The 20,974-nt window shown below is 35.6% G+C and overlaps 1 protein-coding gene across 28 annotated transcripts in view; it reads right to left on the bottom strand.

The window, feature by feature from the left end:
• TUSC3 (tumor suppressor candidate 3) overlaps positions 1-20,974 on the bottom strand; it is a 434,904-nt gene that overhangs the window by 81,104 nt on the left and 332,826 nt on the right. For 10 of the 28 annotated variants that reach the window (NR_182198.1, NR_182197.1, NM_001413670.1 and 7 more), the window contains one exon: positions 3,436-6,785. The exons of 3 other annotated variants lie outside the window; for them this stretch is intronic. Coding sequence is in view for 20 of the 25 variants with exons in the window: in NM_001413670.1 (NP_001400599.1) it covers positions 6,770-6,785 (16 nt within the window). In the remaining 5 variants the exon portion in view is untranslated. Of the gene's footprint in view, positions 1-3,435; positions 12,959-13,128; positions 13,198-17,707; positions 18,992-20,974 lie in introns of those variants that run through there. 15 more of the 28 variants (XM_047422264.1, XM_047422265.1, NR_182196.1 and 12 more) reach the window with 14 other exon arrangements.

The following is a 20,974-nucleotide window of genomic DNA, read 5'->3' as shown; positions in this document are numbered from 1 at the left end:
TCTTGACAGTTTTATTTTAATGTGTCTTGGTATGGATCTCTTTGAATGTGTATACTATGTGGAATTTGTTGGAACTTCTTGGATATTGGCTTCATGTCTTTTTTCAGATTTGGTAAGTTTGAACATTATTTCTTCGGGTACTCTTTTCTGTCCTTTCCTCTCTCTTCTGGGACTCGTATTTATACTTAATATGCTTGATAGTGTCTAACAGTCTTTTGGTCTGTGTTCATATTTCCTTGTCTCCTCCTCAGACTGGATCATTTCAACAACTGACCTAGCTTCAAGTTCACTGATTGTTTTATCTGCCTATTCTCCTGTCAAGCCTAATGACTTTTCCAATTATTACTATATTATTATAATTTCAACTGATTCATTTTAAGATCATATTTTTCAACATCGGAATTTATATTTGACTCCTTTTCATAATTTTTAAAAATTATACTTTAAGTTCTGGGATACATGTGCAAAACATGCAGGTTACAGAGGTATACACATGCCATGGTGGTTTGCTGCATCCATCAACCCATCATCTACATTGGGTATTTCTCCTAATGCTATCTCTCCCCAGCCCCTGATCCCCTGACAGGCCTCGGTGTGTGATGTTCCCCTCCGTGTGTCCATGCGTTCTCACTGTCCAACTCTCACTTATGAGTGAGAACACGCGGTGTTTGGTTTTCTGTTCCTGTGTTAGTTTGCTGAGGATGGTTTCCAGCTTCATCCATGTCCCTGCAAAGGATATGAACTCACCCTTTTTTATGGCTGGATAGCATTCCATGGTGCATATGTGCCACATTTTCTTTATCCAGTCTATCATTGATGGACATTTGGGTTGGTTCCAAGTCTTTGCTATTATGAACAGTGCTGCAACAAACATACATGTGCATGTATCTAAAGTAGATTGATTTATAATCCTTTGTGTATATACCCAGTAATGGGATTGCTGGGTCAAATGGTATTTCTGATTCTAGAACCTTGAGGAATCACCACACTGTCTTCCACAATGGTTGAACTAATTTACACTCCCACCAACAGTGTAAAAGCATTCCTATTTCTCCACATCCTCTCTAGCACCTGTTGTTTCCTTTTCAATGATCGCCATTCTAACTGGCGAGAGATGGTATCTCACTGTGGTTTTAATTTGCATCTCTCTAATGCCCAGTGATGATGAGCTTTCTTTAACGTTTGTGGGCCACATAAATGTCTTCTTTTGAAAAGTGTCTGTTCATATCCTTTGCCCACTTTTTGATGGGGTTTTCTCTTATAAATTTCAGTTCTTTGTAGATTCTGGATTATTAGCCCTTTGTCAGATGGATAGATTGCACAAATTTTTTCCCATTCTGTAGGTTGTCTGTTTGCTCTAATCATAGTTTCTTTTGCCGTGCAGAAGCTCTTTAGTTTAATTAGATCCCATGTATCAATTTTGGCATTTGTTGCCATTGATTTTGGTGTTTTAGTCATGAAGTCTTTGTCCATGCCTGTGTCCTGAATGGTATTGCCTAGGTTTTCTTCTAGGGTTTTTAAGGTTTTAGGTCTTAACATTTAAGTCTTTAATCCATCTTGAGTTAATTTTTGTGTACGGTGTAAGGGAGGGGTCCAGTTTCAGTTTTCTGCATATAGCTAGCCAGTTTTCCCATCACCATTTATTAAATAGGGAATCCTTTCCCCATTGTTTTTGTCAAGTTTGTGAAAGATCAGATGGTTGTAGACGTGTGGTATTATTTCTGAGGCCTCTGTTCTGTTCCGTTCCATTGGTCTATATATCTGTTTTCATACCAGTACCATGCTGTTTTGGTTACTGTAGCTTTGTAGTATAGTTTGAAGTCAGGTAGAGTGATGCCTTCAGCTTTGTTCTTTTTTTGCTTAAGATTGTCTTGGTTATGCAGGCTTTTTTTTGGTTCCACATGAAATTTAAAGTAGTTTCTTTCTAATTCTATAAAGAAAGTCAATGGCAGGTTGATGGATAGCATTTAATCTATAAGTTACTTTTGGCGGTACGGCCATTTTCACGATATTCATCTGTCCTATCCATGAGCATGGAATGTGTTTCCATTTGTGTCCTCTCTTATTTCCTTGTGCAGTGGTTTGTAGTTCTCCTTGAAGAGGTCCTTCGCATCCCTTGTAACTTGTACTCCTAGGTATTTTATTCTTTTTGTAGCAATTGTGAATGGGAGTTCACTCATGATTTGGCTGTTATTGGGATATAGAAATTCTTGTGGTTTTCGCACATTGATTTTGTATCCTGAGACTTTTCTGAAGTTGCTTATCAGCTTAAGGGGATTTGGGGCTGAGATGATGGGGTATTCTAAATGTACAACCATGTCATCTACAAACAGACAATTTGATTTCCTCTGTTCCTATCCTTTTTATAATTTTTATCTCTTTACTGATATTCTTTATTTAATGATAAATCATTCTCTGTTTCCTTTAGTTGTTTGTCCATGGTTTCTGTTAGCTCTTTGAGTAGGTTGAAGACATTAATGTCCTCGTCTAGCAAGTCCAATGCCTGTGCTGCCTCAGGGTCAGTTTCTGTTAATTTCTTTCTTGTGAATAAGATGACTTTCTTGTCTCTTCATATGCCTCATGTTTTAAATTTTTATAAAGTGGATAGCCTGAACATTATAATGTGGCAACTCTGGAAACTAGATTCTGCCCTCTCCCCAAGTTTTGTTATCACGGCTTGTTGTGAATTGCAGTTTATGTAGCAGTGATTTGTTTAGTGACTTTTCTAAACTGTCACATGTTGTCTGTGTATTTATTCCATTAGCCTAGTGGTCAGTCAGTAGTTTGACAGAACTTTCCTTAAATGCCTGGAGACAAAAGAAAAAAAAAAGATAAAAAGAAAAATACTCTCCCCACTTTACAGACAGGTTCTCTATTGGGGAACTCTTTCAACACTTATCTGGGCTGTTTACCACTGTTTTAGTCTTCACTTCCTGTTTGGTCTGGGTGTAAATATTAATATCAGCAAGATGTGAAAGCTTAGAATCTTCTCAGGACTTTTCTGAACATGGATCCTGCCCTGGGTATGTGTATGTCCTTCTAGAGTCCCTGTTACATGTAGCATTGTTTCCAATTCCTTATTCTCCAAAGTATTTCACTATCCAGCTTTTCCTTCCAGGCTTTCAGTGTATGTCTATTTGTCCCAACTTCAATCTTTTCTCCAGGCAGCAGTGGCTTCTTCATTTACTTTCAATGCTTTCAAGAAACCATTCTCAGCACAGCTACTTTTTCACCTGAGAGACTTCTGAGTTACGTCAACCGAAGGCAAGACCCTAGATAGGTCAAAGCAAACACCATTTCTTAAGAATGAGGTCTATTCTGCTCCCTCCAAAGCCAGGAACCCACATAAGGAATGCAGGCTGCAGTCTTCAAGACCATTCCTGACTGGGGAGGAAAGAGGGTGAATTAAGATAAAATACCATTAAGCTATCCAGCTGAGTTTCAGTTGCTTTTTTAATTTAAGCATTTTCTTGTTTTAAACAGTGGTTTGGTAAACTTTTTTTTTTAAAACAAATTTCCAATAAAATGGAATGTGACAGTGTTTTTTTTTTTTCCTGTTTTTCTAAGGACAGGTATGTCCCTGGAATTCCTTGCTGTCATTTTTCCTGACATCTATGCATAATTTTTAATGGAAATAGATAGATGTATCCACATTTGGGTAAATGTGACATGATTTTCCTATTATGGCCGGAAGGTGAGATGCTTTGTTAAATCTTTGTATAGTAGTTGGACCCTTGGTATATGATATAAATATATGCATGTATTTCAGACATAGAGGAATATCGAAAATTCATAAATGGCAGATGCTCGTGAATTATATCATCAGGGAATTTAGGAGCTAATGAATGCATACTTGTACCCTTTGAGTGTGACTAGCTACAATGCTCATCCTTTTCCTACTATTAGAGAAAACATTATTACATATATTGGTCTGATCCAATATAGCATATTGCTGGAGTATGAAGAAGACCTTGTTTTACTATTTTAAACTTAATGAGCTCTGTGGACTTTGAGAACATTGAGTCTTCAAGCGTCAATTCAAGTATTTTGTCCCTACATGCTCCAGCTAATGTGTTCGCCCCAGTGACCAGTCCTTTTTAAAACACAATGTTTAATGTCACTGGTTGAAAAGTAATTTGTCATGCCTTATTTAGAATAACCACTCCCTTCACGTACCCTTAGGGAGGTTTGCTTAGGTGATAGCAAGAAAGGGAATACTTGCCACGCTCTACGGTTACAGCAACATCTAGTCGTCTCCCCAAATCACCATGCCTGCTGAATTGTAATTGACAAGGGATGTTACTTCGTGTGTAAAAGAAAACTGCAGTAAGCACAAAATGCTACTGGGCTTACTCATGTGAATATCTAATGCCAGGAACAGTATGTTAAGCAAAATGCAACAAGTTATTAATCAGATGTTATTACAAAATGAAACTCCTTTAGGTGGAATTTTATAATTGGGATTTTTCTCTCCACTGTAGTAGAAAAACAATTGTTAAACATATAATCAATTTTTATGACAGTTTGGAACGCACAGTGAATCTGGTTAAAAAGTGACACTGGAGGATATAACATACCAGGTACAAATCAATTATTCAATTCTCATTGTCTAGCAAAGGTAAATACATCGCATGTATGTGATTTTGCACGTTACATTCTGCAAGCAAACTATATGTTTGAGCCACTCTTTGCAATTCTGCCTATAGCATTTTCCAGTCAGTAACGACTTATGTTGAGGCAGTATATTTTGCTCTAGAATCACTTCCCTAATGTAACAGTTGTCTATAGAGAAGCCACAGCTTTTTAAAGCATGAAATTCTGAAAAAAAAATATTGTTTTTATCACTGGATGTAATTTTAAATGCTCAGAGGAAATTAGAAAATAAGAGCTAGAAAACCTTTACTAATATGGTATAGTAAAGTACTCCTTATCTATCTTAGTTATAGTGTCTGAGGATGACCTGACTTTGATATGATTAAAAGATTTACAGTGAGATTAGAGATAATTTGTAATATCATTTAATCAGCTGCATATTAACTGCAAGATAATTCTGAGATTTAAGGATACAAACAAAAGTGATTATAATTAACAAATGTTTAATACTTGTAAAATTTGACCTGAGAGTCTCTATGTATGAAGTTTTGAGTAAAATGTAAAAAATCTACAATGGATTAAGAATTACAGGTCAAGTTCTGCCTAGTGATAGGCAGTGATCAAATGATTAAGTTCATCTATTGCTTTTCCATAAACGTCATTCCAAAACTAAATTTATTCATCTAAGTACATGAACTAGGAGAATTTATGTTATTTTTAGTAACAGATTTGGGAGTATGATTATAAACTTACAATTATTACGTAATTTTCACTGAATATTATGTTTTGAAAAGATAGCATTCATCCTGCTAGCATACACATTGCCCTGGGATATAACTTGATAAACATGCCCCAGTAGGCCTTTATATTCCCATTCTTCATTGAAATTCACAGATTTAAGTAAGTAAACTCAATGGTTGTACACCCGTTTCTTGTTTGAGGCTATATAGCTGGAACTCCCAATGAAAACAATTCTCCATGGTCTGTTACTCAAATCTTAATGAAAATTAGATAACAAACCTTAAAAACAAAAAGCAAACACTTATTGAACTGACTCAAGAAGAACTGCTTTCCTAAACCCTAATTAATTTGGATAACTCCACAGAATATAAAAATCCATGTTTGAGAGTTTGAAGGCCTGGTTATAAACTTTATTTTTGGCTTTCAGCTTCCATTAGTTCTATGAGTCAGATAAAATTTACATTTCCTGACTAATTTACAAGGTTATTGTGAGGAAGAAATACCATAATGTATGTGAAAGTGCTTTATAAACTAAAACAGGATACAAACATAATAGTACATTACACTCCTATGTTTGTTTTCAAGAAAGCTTCATTGAATCATTCACTAATCCTAGGATAATTAACCTTTTACCTGGATTCAAAGATTGAGGATTTGATGGAAAGCTGGTTGCATAAAACACATGAGCAAAATGGATATAGTGGGTTAGGTTTGCTCGAAAATGGATAGTGTGTTAAGTTTGCTCTTATTTTTAAGTCTGGATTCCCAGAGGACATTTAAGTTTGAGAAATAACTCCTAGTTGTGGTATGTTGCTTTCATCGTCTGATGCCTTTGAAGCACACTGCTTTAATGCACATTTACTTTAGATTTAGATCTCAAGAAGGAGCTCTAGTCCTTGGTTAGGCATCCAAATTGTAGGTACCATTCATCCAGTTCCCTGTCCTATATACCTTTATCTAGTTATAATTAATAACAAAACACTATTCGTAACAGTGCACGTCCTTTATAACTGAAACTGAAGTAAGTTTAATTTTCAGTACATGACATATTTTCATGCATTTGCTTTATCCCTGTACAATACTAAGAATCTTTAACATACATTTCATAGGTTTTCTTTACTAACATTGCGGTCCTTTACTAATGAGTAAACAGCTCTAAAACATGAATTCATAATTACATTGTCATTTATTTCAATCCTGTGGCACACACTGAATATAACAGGCTTGAAAAACACTTTGATATTTCCTTTGTAGATTACTAAATGCTACCATTGATTTCTGTAAATTAAATTTACTAGGAAAACCCACAGTTTAAAAAAAGTACACAAGAATAAGCTAGCTGATCACAATGAAATGAATGAATTCAAAATAGTATAAAGTCAGGAACAGTTTATCTTCATGGTAAACATTCACTTTATGCAAATCCCACTTGGCTTCATTTAATTAAAAAGCTGAAAAAGAAAGAAAATTATTATGTGCTGAACATAGAACATAAGGAAAATACAATATGTTTGTTATTCCATTCTAAATTAGCACATGTAAATATAACATTAAAATGTCATAATTGTATTCAACTAATTGTAATTTTTACATCAGGGCAATTTTTCTAAACTAGTGCCTTTAACCAGATGAGGCTTAGGTTGGGAACAGGGTCAGGGTGAGAGAAGATGCTGAAAGCTTTAATTTGTGGTTTAAATTTACATAGACATTCCTTTCATTGCTGGCTAGAACAGCAGTTAAATCAGCATTTAAAATGGTAATGTAGGGGAAATACAAGGGAATGGACTGAAACAAATGCGTGAAGTGGGTCATTTGAATGTCCTAAAAATATTTTTTCTCTAACCGTATAATTTAATCACTTGGTCTTTTGTTAATTTACAATTTCATCATATTGAACAACCAAAAAGAGTATACACAAATCATGAATCATAAAATTTCTGATGAAACATCAGCAGAGATACTTGTACATATAAAAGTAAAAGATAACTATGTTATTTTTTTAAACTTCCCTAAGCAAAGCTTTAATTTATGAAACAAAATTTAATTTTGTAAGATGGTAAATCAATTTAAATAACATTTATGAAGCTTTTGTTTACATCTGTACCTTTCTGCTAACACGTGGCATGTTCTTTTTGAGTCTTGACAACACAAGACAACTTTGCAAGGCAACCAGAGACAAACCAATTTTTAATTAAATATAAAAGCAAAAATGAAATTAATAGTTCTTGTACTTAAAAAAAGAAAACAAAAAACAACAACATCAAAAAAAAAACATGTAGCTGGAAAAATGTCCAAAGTAGGTAAGTTTTATATTTGGATGTTTAAATCATATCATCCTAGGCATAAATTGTTTCGTCTTTCTGAACCTCGGTTTCCTCATTAGTGAAAAGAACGTTTGTTTTGGATGATTCCCGAAGTTCTTTTCGTGCTAATATTTTAGGATTCTGGTGATACTATGTGCAAGAATAAATATGTATTTTAAAATGTAACATTTTAGTATAAAACATGAAATATATATTTAAATTATATAATATACAGTGTATATTATATAACATCAATTAAAATGTAAATAAAGTCACAGTACAATACAAACTAGAAAAATTACTCTTGTTAGCTGTTTCTGAGAAATTGTTAAATTAGAAGATAAAAATGATGTGGTGATATCAGGATGCAATGAGACGTCGCCTCTACTTTCAAGATAATAAGTAACGAATAAAGCGTACGATAAGGGTGACCATCTCCATGAAGAATGTCAGCAGTAAACCTTGTCAGGGCCTTAAGCTGTAGTTGCTGTTCAATCCGCATGATCCTTAAAAACACTGCTGGTAAAGCAGATAGATGTGCCAGCTGTACATGAACTGTGGCATTATGTTTTGAAAAGATAGCGTTCATCCTGCTAGCACACACAAGCCATCATCAGCTTGCTCTGAAGATGAAGCTAACTGAAGAATGAGGGTTAATGAAAAAAGAAACCTTAATCATAAAATGAACTGATACTTAAAACTAGGGATTTGTAGCTTTTTGTTGTTTAGTGTTTAAAGGCTCTGCAGATTTCAAGTTACGGAGCACTAAAGGTAATCTTTATTGCTGCTAACGATATTACCCCTGTAAAAGCAAAAATACTAATCTGATCCATACTGGTAATTTTATACCTTCTAACTTTTTAGCAGTTTTATGATACTTAGGTATATTCACAGTAAAAGGATCTCTGTGAGTACTTTATTAATGTTATCTTTAGTTATGCTACTGTTTTTTTCATTTAGTAATTTTCTTAACCTGGTGTAACAATCAGTTGTTTATATCATTATGAAATGATAAATATATATTTAATCTGAAACTGATTACTTGTTAGTTAGATGTATCCTTTATTGTAGGACAATTAGAGTACTTCCTATGCTTCTATCATTTTCAAAACTATCATTTTCATTTTAAATAGTTATAAAAATTTCTTTATTTGTTCAAGACACTGGAAACACTTGAAGCACAAAAATGTCAAAAATGTTTTGACTGGTTAAAACGTTTCTGAGAAAAGTATGAACTGCTGTTCTCTAATCAGTATTTCAGGTTTCACTTTTATTTTCATTATATAAATATTAAATTATAAATATTAAATTTCCAAAGTATGTTCCAGTATGAATGTTTTATATTGATATTATCACTCAAGGAATTAGTCTCTCATTTCTAAACAAGATCTGACACGTATTTTTTTCCCTTTTCACATTTATCTGTCTAATAAATACTTTTGCTTCTTAATCTAACAGTATAATAGTTCTCACAAACTTATGGTTCAGGAGTGCCTGGATATTGTTTTTTCTAATAATGCCTATCACAAAAATGTATAAATGCCTTCGTATCATACTTTTTTAAAAACAACTGTCAATAATGAAAACTGAATGTATTCCCCTGATGTGTGCTTTTCACTTTTGCGGTCTGCTTCCAGAATGAGTGAGAAGCAGCCTTGGGTACCACGATCAACTTCTGTGTGGACTCTGCTCCACGCTCAGTCATGAACGAATCGCACTGTAGTTATCCATAGTAGTAGTCTGCATGTGCATAGCACTGATTGCTGTGACTGGCTTATTCGCGTATTCTGAAGAGAATATATGCATGGTCAACTGTAACTGAGATAGTAATAGAAAATGGAAGCTAATTGGCAAGAGTAGCAAATCGCACACAAGGGATAAGATAGATAGAAGGCTAGGACTAGCACAAATGTGCCCCCAGAAGCTCCCACTTCCCCTAGCCTAAGAGAAGCAACCATTCCTTTCTAGTCTGTGTCACTTTATTTTTGCTTAAAGTCCATCAGGGATGCAGAGAGACTGTTTACACAAAGAAGAAACTTCAAACCGTTTCTCTCCTTAAGGCTGGCTCTCTCCTCAGCACTCCCTCATGGTAGAAAACCACAATTTAGATGAAAATGCTGTCTTTGATTTGCTAAGGATTAATATTCCATAGGTTTATTAGCAAGTTTATTACTTGAAATTCAAAAGATTTTTCTAGAGAAACACGCAAGTGTTAGCTATTTTCTTAATCTCAGGGCCCCCAAAAGTCTGTTTCAATCAGCATTTAACAACCATTGTGTACTAGATTCTGTGCATAGAAGCATGTTGCAGAAAATGAAATGACTGAAAGTCATGGCCCTTACATTTCTTTTAGCTAAAGGAAAGACCTGGGTGTGATTAAGTATGATACAGTGACATATTTGAGATGATGACGGTGTTACAAGAACTGAAAAAGCAAAACTCTGAGAACAAGTAAGATGCAGGGACAGCAGCCTCGACCGAAGAAACTGGATGAGGAAAGGTATGAAAGTATGGGAACATATTCAGTGCTGTGTTCAGCATGGCTAAACCGGGAGTTAGCACATTTTCTGTAAAGAGCCAGAAGGTTAAGTATTTTAAACTTTGTGGGCCATGGGTCTTTGCTGAAACCACTCAGCTGAACTGTCGTAGTGCAAAAGCAGCCAACACATAAAACAAACCTGGCTGCGTTTCAATGAAACTTTATTCATAGGCACTGATATCTGAATTTCATAATTTTCATGTCACAAAATATTCTTTGTTGACGTCCCACCCCCCAATGATTTAGAACTGTAGAAGCCATTCTTAGTTTGTAGGATAAACTAACACAGACAGCAGTTACTTAGTCTTGTATTAAACCACAGGGTGTACTGAAAGATACACCATAAAAAGCTGGATGGCATAAAACTTAAAATAGTTGTGGCAATTCATACATTGATATTACTACATAGGTGTAAAATCATATATATTGTAGAATGTAGTTAACTGCATAGGAATATGCTCATGATGTATAAAAGAAAAATAAGCAGCTTACAAAATATGTATTACATAATTCCCAAGGTTCAAAATATGTACAGGCTAAACTGATGACATTTGATGACCTGGGTGTTGGGATTTATGAATATATTTTCTTCATTTTGCTTACCTGTATCTTCTAGAAGGAACATGTATTAACTTTGCCTTCCTCTTTGTTATTAGCTATTAATGAATTTTAATGAAGAAGCAACATGATCAGCGCATATCTTAAAATAATTCTGACACTACCCTACAATAAGTGATGTATTATGGGGGATAATGACTAGATACCGGGAGACAATTTAAGAGGCTCGGTTATAGTCAGAAAAAGACACAAGGTACTCAAGACAGCAACTGTGGGAACAGAAAAGTAATGTAGGCCAAATAACATAAAGAAGGATGAGGATGAGGACAAAATGACTTCAAGATTTCCATCTTGTGTGACTGTGACAATGACAGTGTCGGGGAAAAGGGGTGGAGAAAGAGATTTGGAGGCAGATGATAATGATTTTTTAACGTAGTGAGGTGAACTGTTAATGTGGTATTCAGGTCTGGTTCTGGATGTCATGAGAAAGGTCAGGACTTGATAATGTATATTCAGGACTGAGAAATAATCTAAGAGAAAAAAGGAAGGTGTAAGAATGCCATGTTACAAAATCCAGGGTATGAAGTTTCCAAGAGGGGCTTGTCAACTAAAATGCTAGAAAGGTCACATGAAGAGAACTTTGGATTTGGTCACTGGTGGTTACTGGAGACCGAGGGTATATCAAAAGCTTGTTTGTTCCTTTTCCCTTCCTGTGAAATATCTGAACAGGTAGCAAATAATGGCTTGCTGTTTGTTTTGTTTTTTTTATTTATCTTGAATTAATGACTCCATCTGTTTCTCATATTTGGAAAACCCAGAATGTACACAGTGTTCTGGAACAAATGTATTCTGTCCAAGTGGAAGCCGGTTAAGTTCCGATATCCTCAGCTCGACAGAACATATTTGTGCACTGCTCTTCCTGTTCTTAAACTGGAGAGGAAGTCAGGAAGACCCAGTGGTTACATAATGTCACCTGTCTCACATCACTTATGTGGGTGGGTAAGGGGCAGCTGCTCAGATTTCATTTGGTATCCAAAAAAGGTGCAAACGGGAAAAAAGGTCTGGGTTGTTCACTAAGCACAGATAGGCCAGTGGTTGAATTTTCATTCCGGCCCATTGACCTTGTGGGTAGTGTAACTCACTGAGTCATTCTTTTTAATCTCTACTCTACATTCACATGTGTTCTATGAGAATGCTAGCGAGAAGTACATTGTGGCCCTTAGCTAGAATTCTTTAGCCAAAAGTCCTGGGGCTCTCTTCTCTGTAATAGAAGATTGCTAAACCCAGAAAAGTCTTTGAGTCTAAAACAAGTGGTCTTCTAAAAAGGCCTAAAGAAATCTAGGCCTTTATTGAGAGTAGGAAAACATCTCTGGGAATGGAAGCTTTTTAGATCTGTCATTTCATGGGGCAACAGCAGTCCAGTCTCCTAGTGCTCAGGCCAATTTTCTACACAGCCTCCACAGAGAGGCCTATGTAAAGTGTTAACCACATTTAACAATGAGGAATGACCAGAACATGGATAGTCAATCTGGGGGGAGAAGAACAATAAAACTAGAATGCAGGGGCTAAGGGACAGATGAAGAGCCAGTTCAGAACTCTTTTGGAACACAGGAGCTTCCCATTCCTTCCCTACGTTCAGTGGGTTGCTGAACGGTATGGAGCTTCTGCCAGAGTAAGAAGGCTGTATTACCACAATGGAATTAAGTCTCCAGAGCTGCTTTTGATGTGTTAGCCTAGACCCTGTGTTCTCTGGTCTTGAGGGGGTGGGATGTGCAGTGTGGAATCAAAAAACTGGATTGTGAATTTTCTGCAAAAAATTACTGTCAATTTTACATACATATAAAATTATATTTTTATGTAAAATTATATATATATAAAATTGACAGTAATTTTATATATATATAAATAAAGTACCTACTATCTGTTTCTGAATTTAGCAAATGTTGATTTTAAAAAAGTTTTCAGTAAGTTAACTGTTTGGAAGACTTGTATTTTTTATTACCCTTGAATATTAAGGCTTACATTATTTGTTAATGGGAAAAAAGATTTGGCTACATTTTTCCTAGATAGAATGAAATATATTTGTTGACTGCCTTTTTTCCCTAAGTGATAACAAACAGAAGTTAAGAAAGTATATTTGTTGGGGGTGGAAGCATTGCATCTGTCAAATGATTAACTCCACGTGTCAGTCTTTTGGTAGACATTTTTATCTGAGGACTTCTCCCTGTGGCAGATAAACATAATAATGTAAGACTGGAATATGGAATCTCACAGTTAAAAGTTATCTTACATTTGTAAAACAGTAATTTACTACAACTTGTCTTATGAGATAAATGTTATACTCTCTATATTTGAAAAATGAGGAAAACTGAGGCTCAGAGAAGATTAAAAGACTTGCCTGAGGTTATAGAGTTTTTAAGTGCCATGGTCCAAATCACATCTTCTCACTCAAAGTCCAGATCACTTTCCAATACACCACAATGAAATACAACAATATGGAAAAAATAATCCTTAAGATTGAATTTCCATTTGTACAATATTATTACAAGATTTAGCACTACATTCTTTATCTAGATAAGACAGGGGATAGACGATGGTGCCTTTACAGAATGCCAGCTTATCTCTTAATCATCTCTAAATCCTTGGACCTTTATAAGTCATTTTACAAAGCCAGGACTCAGCATGAGAAAGGTTGAGACCAGTGAAATTCTCATCAATGATGTGTACTGTGGGCTGATCATCACACCATTTAGATATTATTGTTCTATTTGTACAGCTTAAGGTTGTTAAGATGTACAAATCAATGCAAAATTGCTATACCCTCTACATGCTGGAATTTTTGCCTTGCTGTACTTGTTCACTATCATACTTTTTTCAAAATTGGTATGAATGCCTTTCATTTTTAGCTGTTATTCTGTACATTTCCTTACTGAATATCATTCCATTTTCATCTCAAGGTAACCAACGACATTAGAAACTATCAGTTTCGTTTTAAGACAATGGAAGCCACTTTCTGTGTCCACTGTAAGCTTAATTTATATATTCTGTTTTTCACTTGTTATCACCCAGCTTAGAATTGGAACTGCGATACCTCTTTTTTAAGAACGAGTTTTTTTAGAGACAGATTCTCAGTCTGTGGCACAGGCTGGAGTGCAGTGGCACAATCATAGCTCACTTGCAGCCTCAAACTCCTGGGCTCGAGTGATATTTCCACCTCAGCTTCCCCAGTAGCTGGGACTACAGGCGTGTGCCACCATGCCAGGCTAATTTTTTAAATTTTTTGTAGAGACACCATCTTGCTCAGACTGGTCTCAAATTCTTGGCCTCAGGAAATTCTCCTGCCTCAGCCTCCCAATGTGCTAGGCGTGAGGCCTGAGGTACCACGCCCAGCCATGATAGTTAGCTTTAGAGCTCGAGTTTGGGGAATAACTAACTATTTTTCCACACACCTTCAACTATGAAGAACAACCTGACAACTCCAGGGGGTGTCATTTGGTATGGACTGCATCTTCTGGAGCTGTGGCAAGCCAATAAGCCTCACTGTATTTGTATTTTAATGGTTCCAGTTGCATTTAATGGAAGTAGACAAGGAATAAAATTTTCAAGTAAACAGATTCAACTAACAAGTATATGATGAGCACCTACTATGTGCTTAGCACTTTGGAGATATATAAAAGGTTTTTATCAAAGACACAAATACCTTATAATCTAGAAAAAAAAGACAAACACATGAAACAACTGTAAATGAATACTTAATGAAAAACATAATGCGACAAAGTACTACTGAATAATCAGTTGCTGAAATGGCTAGTATAGCTGAAGAGGAGGTAAGTGAAAGTGAGTACTTTTTATTGAGAACCTACTACATTTCAGGGACTACGAACTGATTATATAATTTATCCCCATAAAATTCTGAGGTAGGTTTTATCATACCAAGTTTACAGATTAAGAAACAGGCTTAACCAAGTTAAATATAGAGAGAGAGGTAACTAGAGCTGCAGAAAAATGAGACTTGGAAGTTAAGTAACTAACTTTAAGCCCCAAAGTTAGTTAAGAGGAACCAAAATTCAAACCTGGATTTGTCTAAATGCAGAGCTAGAGCTCTAGCTAATACACAGAATTAAACCCCAACCTTGAGCTCGGGTCTTCTCCTAATTACTGTTATTTTTCCATTATATCATACGACCTCCCTAAGACAGAGTCTAATGAACAGTTAGGAAGCAAAGTGACAGAATTACTAGAAATGTCTCATGTCTCAAAAGCAGAGACTTGATGTATCTTAGATGTTACTACAGACATCTTCTAAAGGAAACTTTTGTGAGCACAGAGTGCCAGTGAAAAATATTGATAAGGTAGTTACCCATATGTGAAGAATATGATGTCCTTGCTAGCACTTTGCTCTTCTTAGAAAATGGGGCAAGCACTAAAGTTCATGTAATATATAAAATGAATTCATTGCTACTACTGAAATCATATTTCTTCCTTTCTGAACATAACACCTTCTACTTTTTTTTTTCTTTTTTTAAGAAAATCACCTTTAGTAATGGCCTTTAGGCTCCAGTGCCAAAGTAGTTGCTTGGGTGTTATGCCTCTGCCTTTTAGCCCTCAATGTCTTCATTTTGCATTTTTGTGAATTATAAACTGTTGTTTATAATTGCTGGCTCAGATGGTAATTAGATCAAATTCATAGTAACCCTACTATTTCACTGACAATTTCAAGAGACCCAGGAGCCCAACTAAGCTCATCAAAAGGTTCAGGGAAAATCTTTTCTTCATTCAACTGAATCATGCAACTATGAGACAAAACTACTTAATCTTTAGCGTAAAGAAAAACTTTTTAGCAGAAGATTAAATAAAAATGAATTTAAATATTTATATCAGAATTAATGATAATTAGCATCAAACATTTATTGAGTAATCAGTACTATGTACCAGGCAATGTGCTAAGTGATTTCCAAGCATTCTCTCATGTAATCTTTCTAATAGTTGAACGACATATGACAAATCATCTCCATTTATAAATGAGAACTTAGCTTGACAAAAGTTAAGTAACTTGCCCAAGGTCACACAGCTAGTAACGAGCAGGCTGGGTATTCCAATCAGGGAAGTTTGCCTATTAAATTTAAAAGACAATCTGAGAGAATTTAGTAATGGCATGAGACAGATTCATACGTAAACTGTTAAGGGTAAACTTTAGGGGAAGATTTAAGACTATAGGATAAATATTTAAAGTAGATTTTTATCCTTTAGCAGGTACCTGTGTCAGCAAAGAAAACAACAATTTTGAAAGTACTATGAAGTACTGAAAAAATATGATGAAGGGCATAGATGTTTAAGGTTTTGTAAGGCTTAAGATTAAAATAAAAATGAATAAGCCGAACAGGATCACTTCAGATAGAAGAACTTAAGGACTGTATTTTAAATAAAATTCAAAATTGTGAGGAAAAAATGTAAAAAAAATTAGTTTAAAGACAATTATGATCACGGTTCTGTACATAAAGATAATTATGGATACAGTCCTGTATATCAGTGGTACAACAGTTTATAATTCACAAAAATGCAAAACGAAGACACTGAGGGCTAAAAGGCGGAGGCATAACACCCAAGCAAGTACTTTGGCATTGGAGCCTAAAGGCCATTACTAAAGGTGCTTTTCTTAAGAAAAGGAAAAAAAGTAGAAGGTGTTATGTTCAAATGTGCATTTTCACTAAAGGGTAACTTAAGTGTCTTATCCCAAGTACAGGTATGATCCAAAGTAGAAGTAGGAAGCTTTCCAAGAGCTACTGTGAAGAAGAATGTGTGTCTGTACTAGCAGTTGATCTCTGCAACATGTATTCATGTTAAAATTGGGGAAGTCAAGGATAGAGTCTTGGTTGAGAAACTATTTTTCTCCTCTTGTCAGCCTACTTCAATGTATTTATTTCTGTCTTGGATGGTTGGAGTGGTTCAGCTCTTGGTCCCTAGAGTTTATGATTTACTATTGTACAGCCTAATGTTCTTAGAAAATGGACATCTACAAATGTCTTTGCAGAAGTACTAAAGGCCAGGAAATACCTTCGGGAGTATGTGTTGTGCGTTTTCCTCTTTCTAGAATAATTCTTTCCTGCATTTCATTCTCTCGTTTTCTACAGACTGCCTTTATCTGATGTGAGTAGTTTTTAAAACATGTCATATAATGCTGGTGCCACAGGTAAATGCTTCCAGGAATACCAAAATATTCTTTAACAACGTGGTGCTATGTTCACCACAGGATAATTCGATGGGAAAAGGTCTTTCTCTTCTTTATCAGTATCTCACCTTTCAACTACTATCAGAATTATTTCTTCTTCTCCTTCATTTGTTCCCTCTATTTGTTCCCTCTTTGACACTTGCTTTTGCCATCACATTTGCTCTTTCTTTAGTTAACTAATTGAATAGATATATATTTGCTTTCCCTGTACTGTCAGGTTTTTGTAATTTGGCTCAGGGTGTGTCCAAATCTCTGCTATATATCTCTGCAGTCTTTTAGTCACATTTGTTTTCGATGTTTGTCAGGCAGTTATCATCATCATTCACAAGAGAGTTGATAAAATAACTGAGAAGAAAACGAAAGCTTATTTAAGAAGGAAACTAATGCAATGGAATAAAAAGATGACTCCAAGTAAAATATATTATTACTAAGTTAACTTTAGCACATATACATGTGCTAGACTAACAAAAGGGATTAAAACTTTTTAAATGGAAAACTGGTTTTTTGTTCATAATGCTCCCATGTCCACTGTATTTTGTTGGTTTAGGAGGATACTGTAAATGTCATGAAGGGAACAGTTATACTATATAAACCTGAGAGAGCAAAATAATTCACGTATGAATGATCACAAGAAGGGTTATCTGTGAGCACCATAAGGATTTATGAAAGCTTGCTGAACAATTTACAGTATATCCATAGAATGTAGGAAAACGATTAAATGACAGTTCTCAAAAGAGCTGAACGGACATATTAGAAGGCTTTAATGTGATCTGGGAAGATATAATTAGAGGGATTTTTTAAATTGGACAGTAGAATAGCTGGATAACTAAGTCATGAAATTCAGATAAGAAAGAACAAATCTCAGAAATGATCTGAGGATACATGAAGAGAACATTATAGGATTAGAAAAAACATAAAAAGGGAATCACATCTATGTAAACTATAGCAGCTTTCATTAGTAAAGAATAAGATATAAAAATTACTTAAATTTGTTTAATAAGTAGATTTTGTCAGTGTCCCTTAGTTTTTATGTAGATTTCCTTTTGTTTCATTGCATATATTTGTACCAAGTTCAAGAATAAGGAAGTTTTTCCTTGAGTAAAATCGTCATCTCTTGAACTTCTGGAGCTCACAAGAATTGAAGAGGCCAAAGTAAGTTATTATCTTGGTGCTGAACATTTATCTAATTGTCAACATTTTTCTTAGAGGCTTTGGCTATCAGATTATTGAGGTCATTATACATTTGACCTCATGTTATTTTCAACTTTGATTCTGGGATAATTTTCTACTTATAGGAATATACGAATCACGTTTTTCTACACAAAACATGGCACAGGAGAGACAAGTAAGCAGAGTCAGATTTTCTGCTTCTGTCATAAAATAAAGATACTCTCTTGGTCTCATCTATAAAATGAATTTCAGTGATATGATCTCCATGATCCTTTGCAGTACTAAAATACCAGAACACTATGATGTTCTGGAAAAAATCCCAAAAACTCATCTGGAAAAATAATTATTAGTTTTGCAAACATCTAGAATTTGAATTAGAGAACTGTCATAAAATTCACCCAAATTGGTTAAGAATATTTCCTTTTGTGTATATATCTTCCTTTTCATATATTTCTTTCTGTCTAATTAATGTATTTTAAACCAGAAACGTTCACTATTGAGTAGTACATATTAAGGCTGTCACACCATAGCAGTATACTCATAATCCTCAGAATATACCATGAACATATTTCTCTTCCCATTCCTTTGTACACAAATTATGACTTTCGGCTCATGAAATACCCTCAGCCCCTCCTCTCTCCTTTGTCTAAATGCTGTGTTGAATTTTAGCCTAATTCAAGCCTTCTTCTGGAGTCTTCCTTTCTCAGACCCACAGTGATCTTTCTCACCTGTAAATTATTTCCATACAACAGATCTGCCAGCCACTTAGCTTGTGACACTTTATATTGTTATTCCCCGGTTCATGGATGTATGTATTTTCTCCAAACAGAAGATTTCACAGTAAGCACCACGGCATGTCTATAAAGCATTTAACAACTCAAATTTAAAACTGAGAGGCAATTGTGAAATCCTTTATCACTTAGTTCCCTAAGACAGGCTCATAAAATGGTTATATCAGATTTACCTGGGTAACTATTCACCTGATTCTTAAAACCCACACTTGGAGATTCTGACTCAGCTGTGCATGGTGTAGGAATAAGAAGCCACAGAGTTTTGAGAACGATCTCTTAGGATCAAAGATCTATCCTGCACACCTTTTTCCCAAATACATGAACTGAATTAAATACTACTCTGGTCACATATTTGGTGGTGTTAACTTTTATAGGTACTTGTCATTGTATTTGGCTTCTTTTGGATGTGCCTAAGAAACAGACAATTAATTTACATTCAGTGAGCTCTTTGAACACCTCCAAGGAGTCCAAAGGGTAGACTGGCTTCAAAGTTCTACTTAAATCAGACGCCCCTATACTGGGGGATGAAAAACTTAGCCAATCACTTCCTCCTAGAAAATTCACAAAATCATGTTGAGAGAGTGAGAACCGGTAGTATATATAGGTGGGAGCCAAAGGGACATAGAAGGCTCTAATCAGCTGAAGAGAACAGTATAAAGACATTACTCAGTAATAATAGTGGAAGGATTGGAGCAAGAGATTAGCCATTTGAGTTACCTCTGAAGCAATGGATTTCTGTTGTTGAATGACCTACTTTCTGAACTTTTTCCAACATCTGAGACACCTAGCTATGTGGCAATTAGGTTTTTTTTTAATTGTCTTCCTTGCTTCTCCATATCTCTCTCCAATAAACCTCCCATTACCTAAAATACCCTGATTGCCTTTTGGCTAGTTGAATCTAAAGTTGCCTAACAGAGCAACCCAAACTCTATTTAGCTTGCCTAAGTCAATCTCGTAAACCCACACAATAGCACAGGAGATGATGGAGCACTGTGAAGAGCTGTTATAGCAGCCAGAGGCCTGCCTGCCATTTCTCTACACAGCAGGTCACACTGTTTAGCACACCTGGTGTCCCAAGCTTCTTTGATAGGCTCTCTTCTGATTCTGTTTCTTGGCAGCTCCTCCTTAGGGTTTTCATCTAAACTATGTCAAATTTCATATTCACAAACCACTCTAAAAAATAATTTCCATCTCTGACTTCTTACAAGAGTTTCATCTATATTTCTAGCATTATGAGGCCTGCTGAAGGCAAATCTATCTCCTGTTAGGCTGGTGGGGAGCTGACAGGAGTGTGGGGCTGGTTACATAAGAAGACTGTTCAAATGCCACATTCACACAGAAATAACGTAAGTGGCATGTATGCTGGTTCAGATGTGCTTACTATTTATATCTATGGTGAGGCCAAGGATATGTATTTTCCAAAGCTTTCTGGGTAGTTTCTATGTCCAGCCTCCGTTAAAAACAACAACAACATAACCCCAGAGCAGTAGAGAGTTATTATACTAAATGACAACTACTACTTGAAAAAAAAAGTACAAACTAAAAGAAGTACAAACTTAAACTCTTCCTATCGTAACAAAAATAGGGCTGTCAAGTGCAACATTATAAAAAACTAGTAAAATATTTTTTTCTCCACTTTTCCTAGTCATTATATTGCTGTCAGATAATAATCTAGATAGGGAATGATATTTTAGTATCATTACATGCTCTGATATACAAGGAAAGTTAGAATTTGCCCTTTACCCTTCCCTACTTCCTGTCAACTAAATAGGGCTTAAGAATCTCAGCTGGGCGTGGTGGCTCACGCCTGTAATCCCAGCACTTTGGGAGGCCGAGGTGGGTGGACCATGAGGTCAGGAGATCGAGACCATCCTGGCTAACACAGTGAAACTCTGCGTCTACTAAAAATACAAAAAATTAGCCAGGCATGGTGGCGGGCACCCGTAGTCCCAGCTACTCGGGAGGCTGAGGCAGGAGAATGGAGTGAACCTGGGAGGCGGAGCTTGCAGTGAGCCGAGATCAAGCCACTGCACTCCAGCCTGGGCAACAG

This window comes from Homo sapiens, chromosome 8, assembly GCF_000001405.40.
Source record: "Homo sapiens chromosome 8, GRCh38.p14 Primary Assembly".
Lineage (NCBI taxonomy): Eukaryota > Metazoa > Chordata > Mammalia > Primates > Hominidae > Homo > Homo sapiens.
This window is presented reverse-complemented; position numbering and strand designations above follow the sequence as displayed.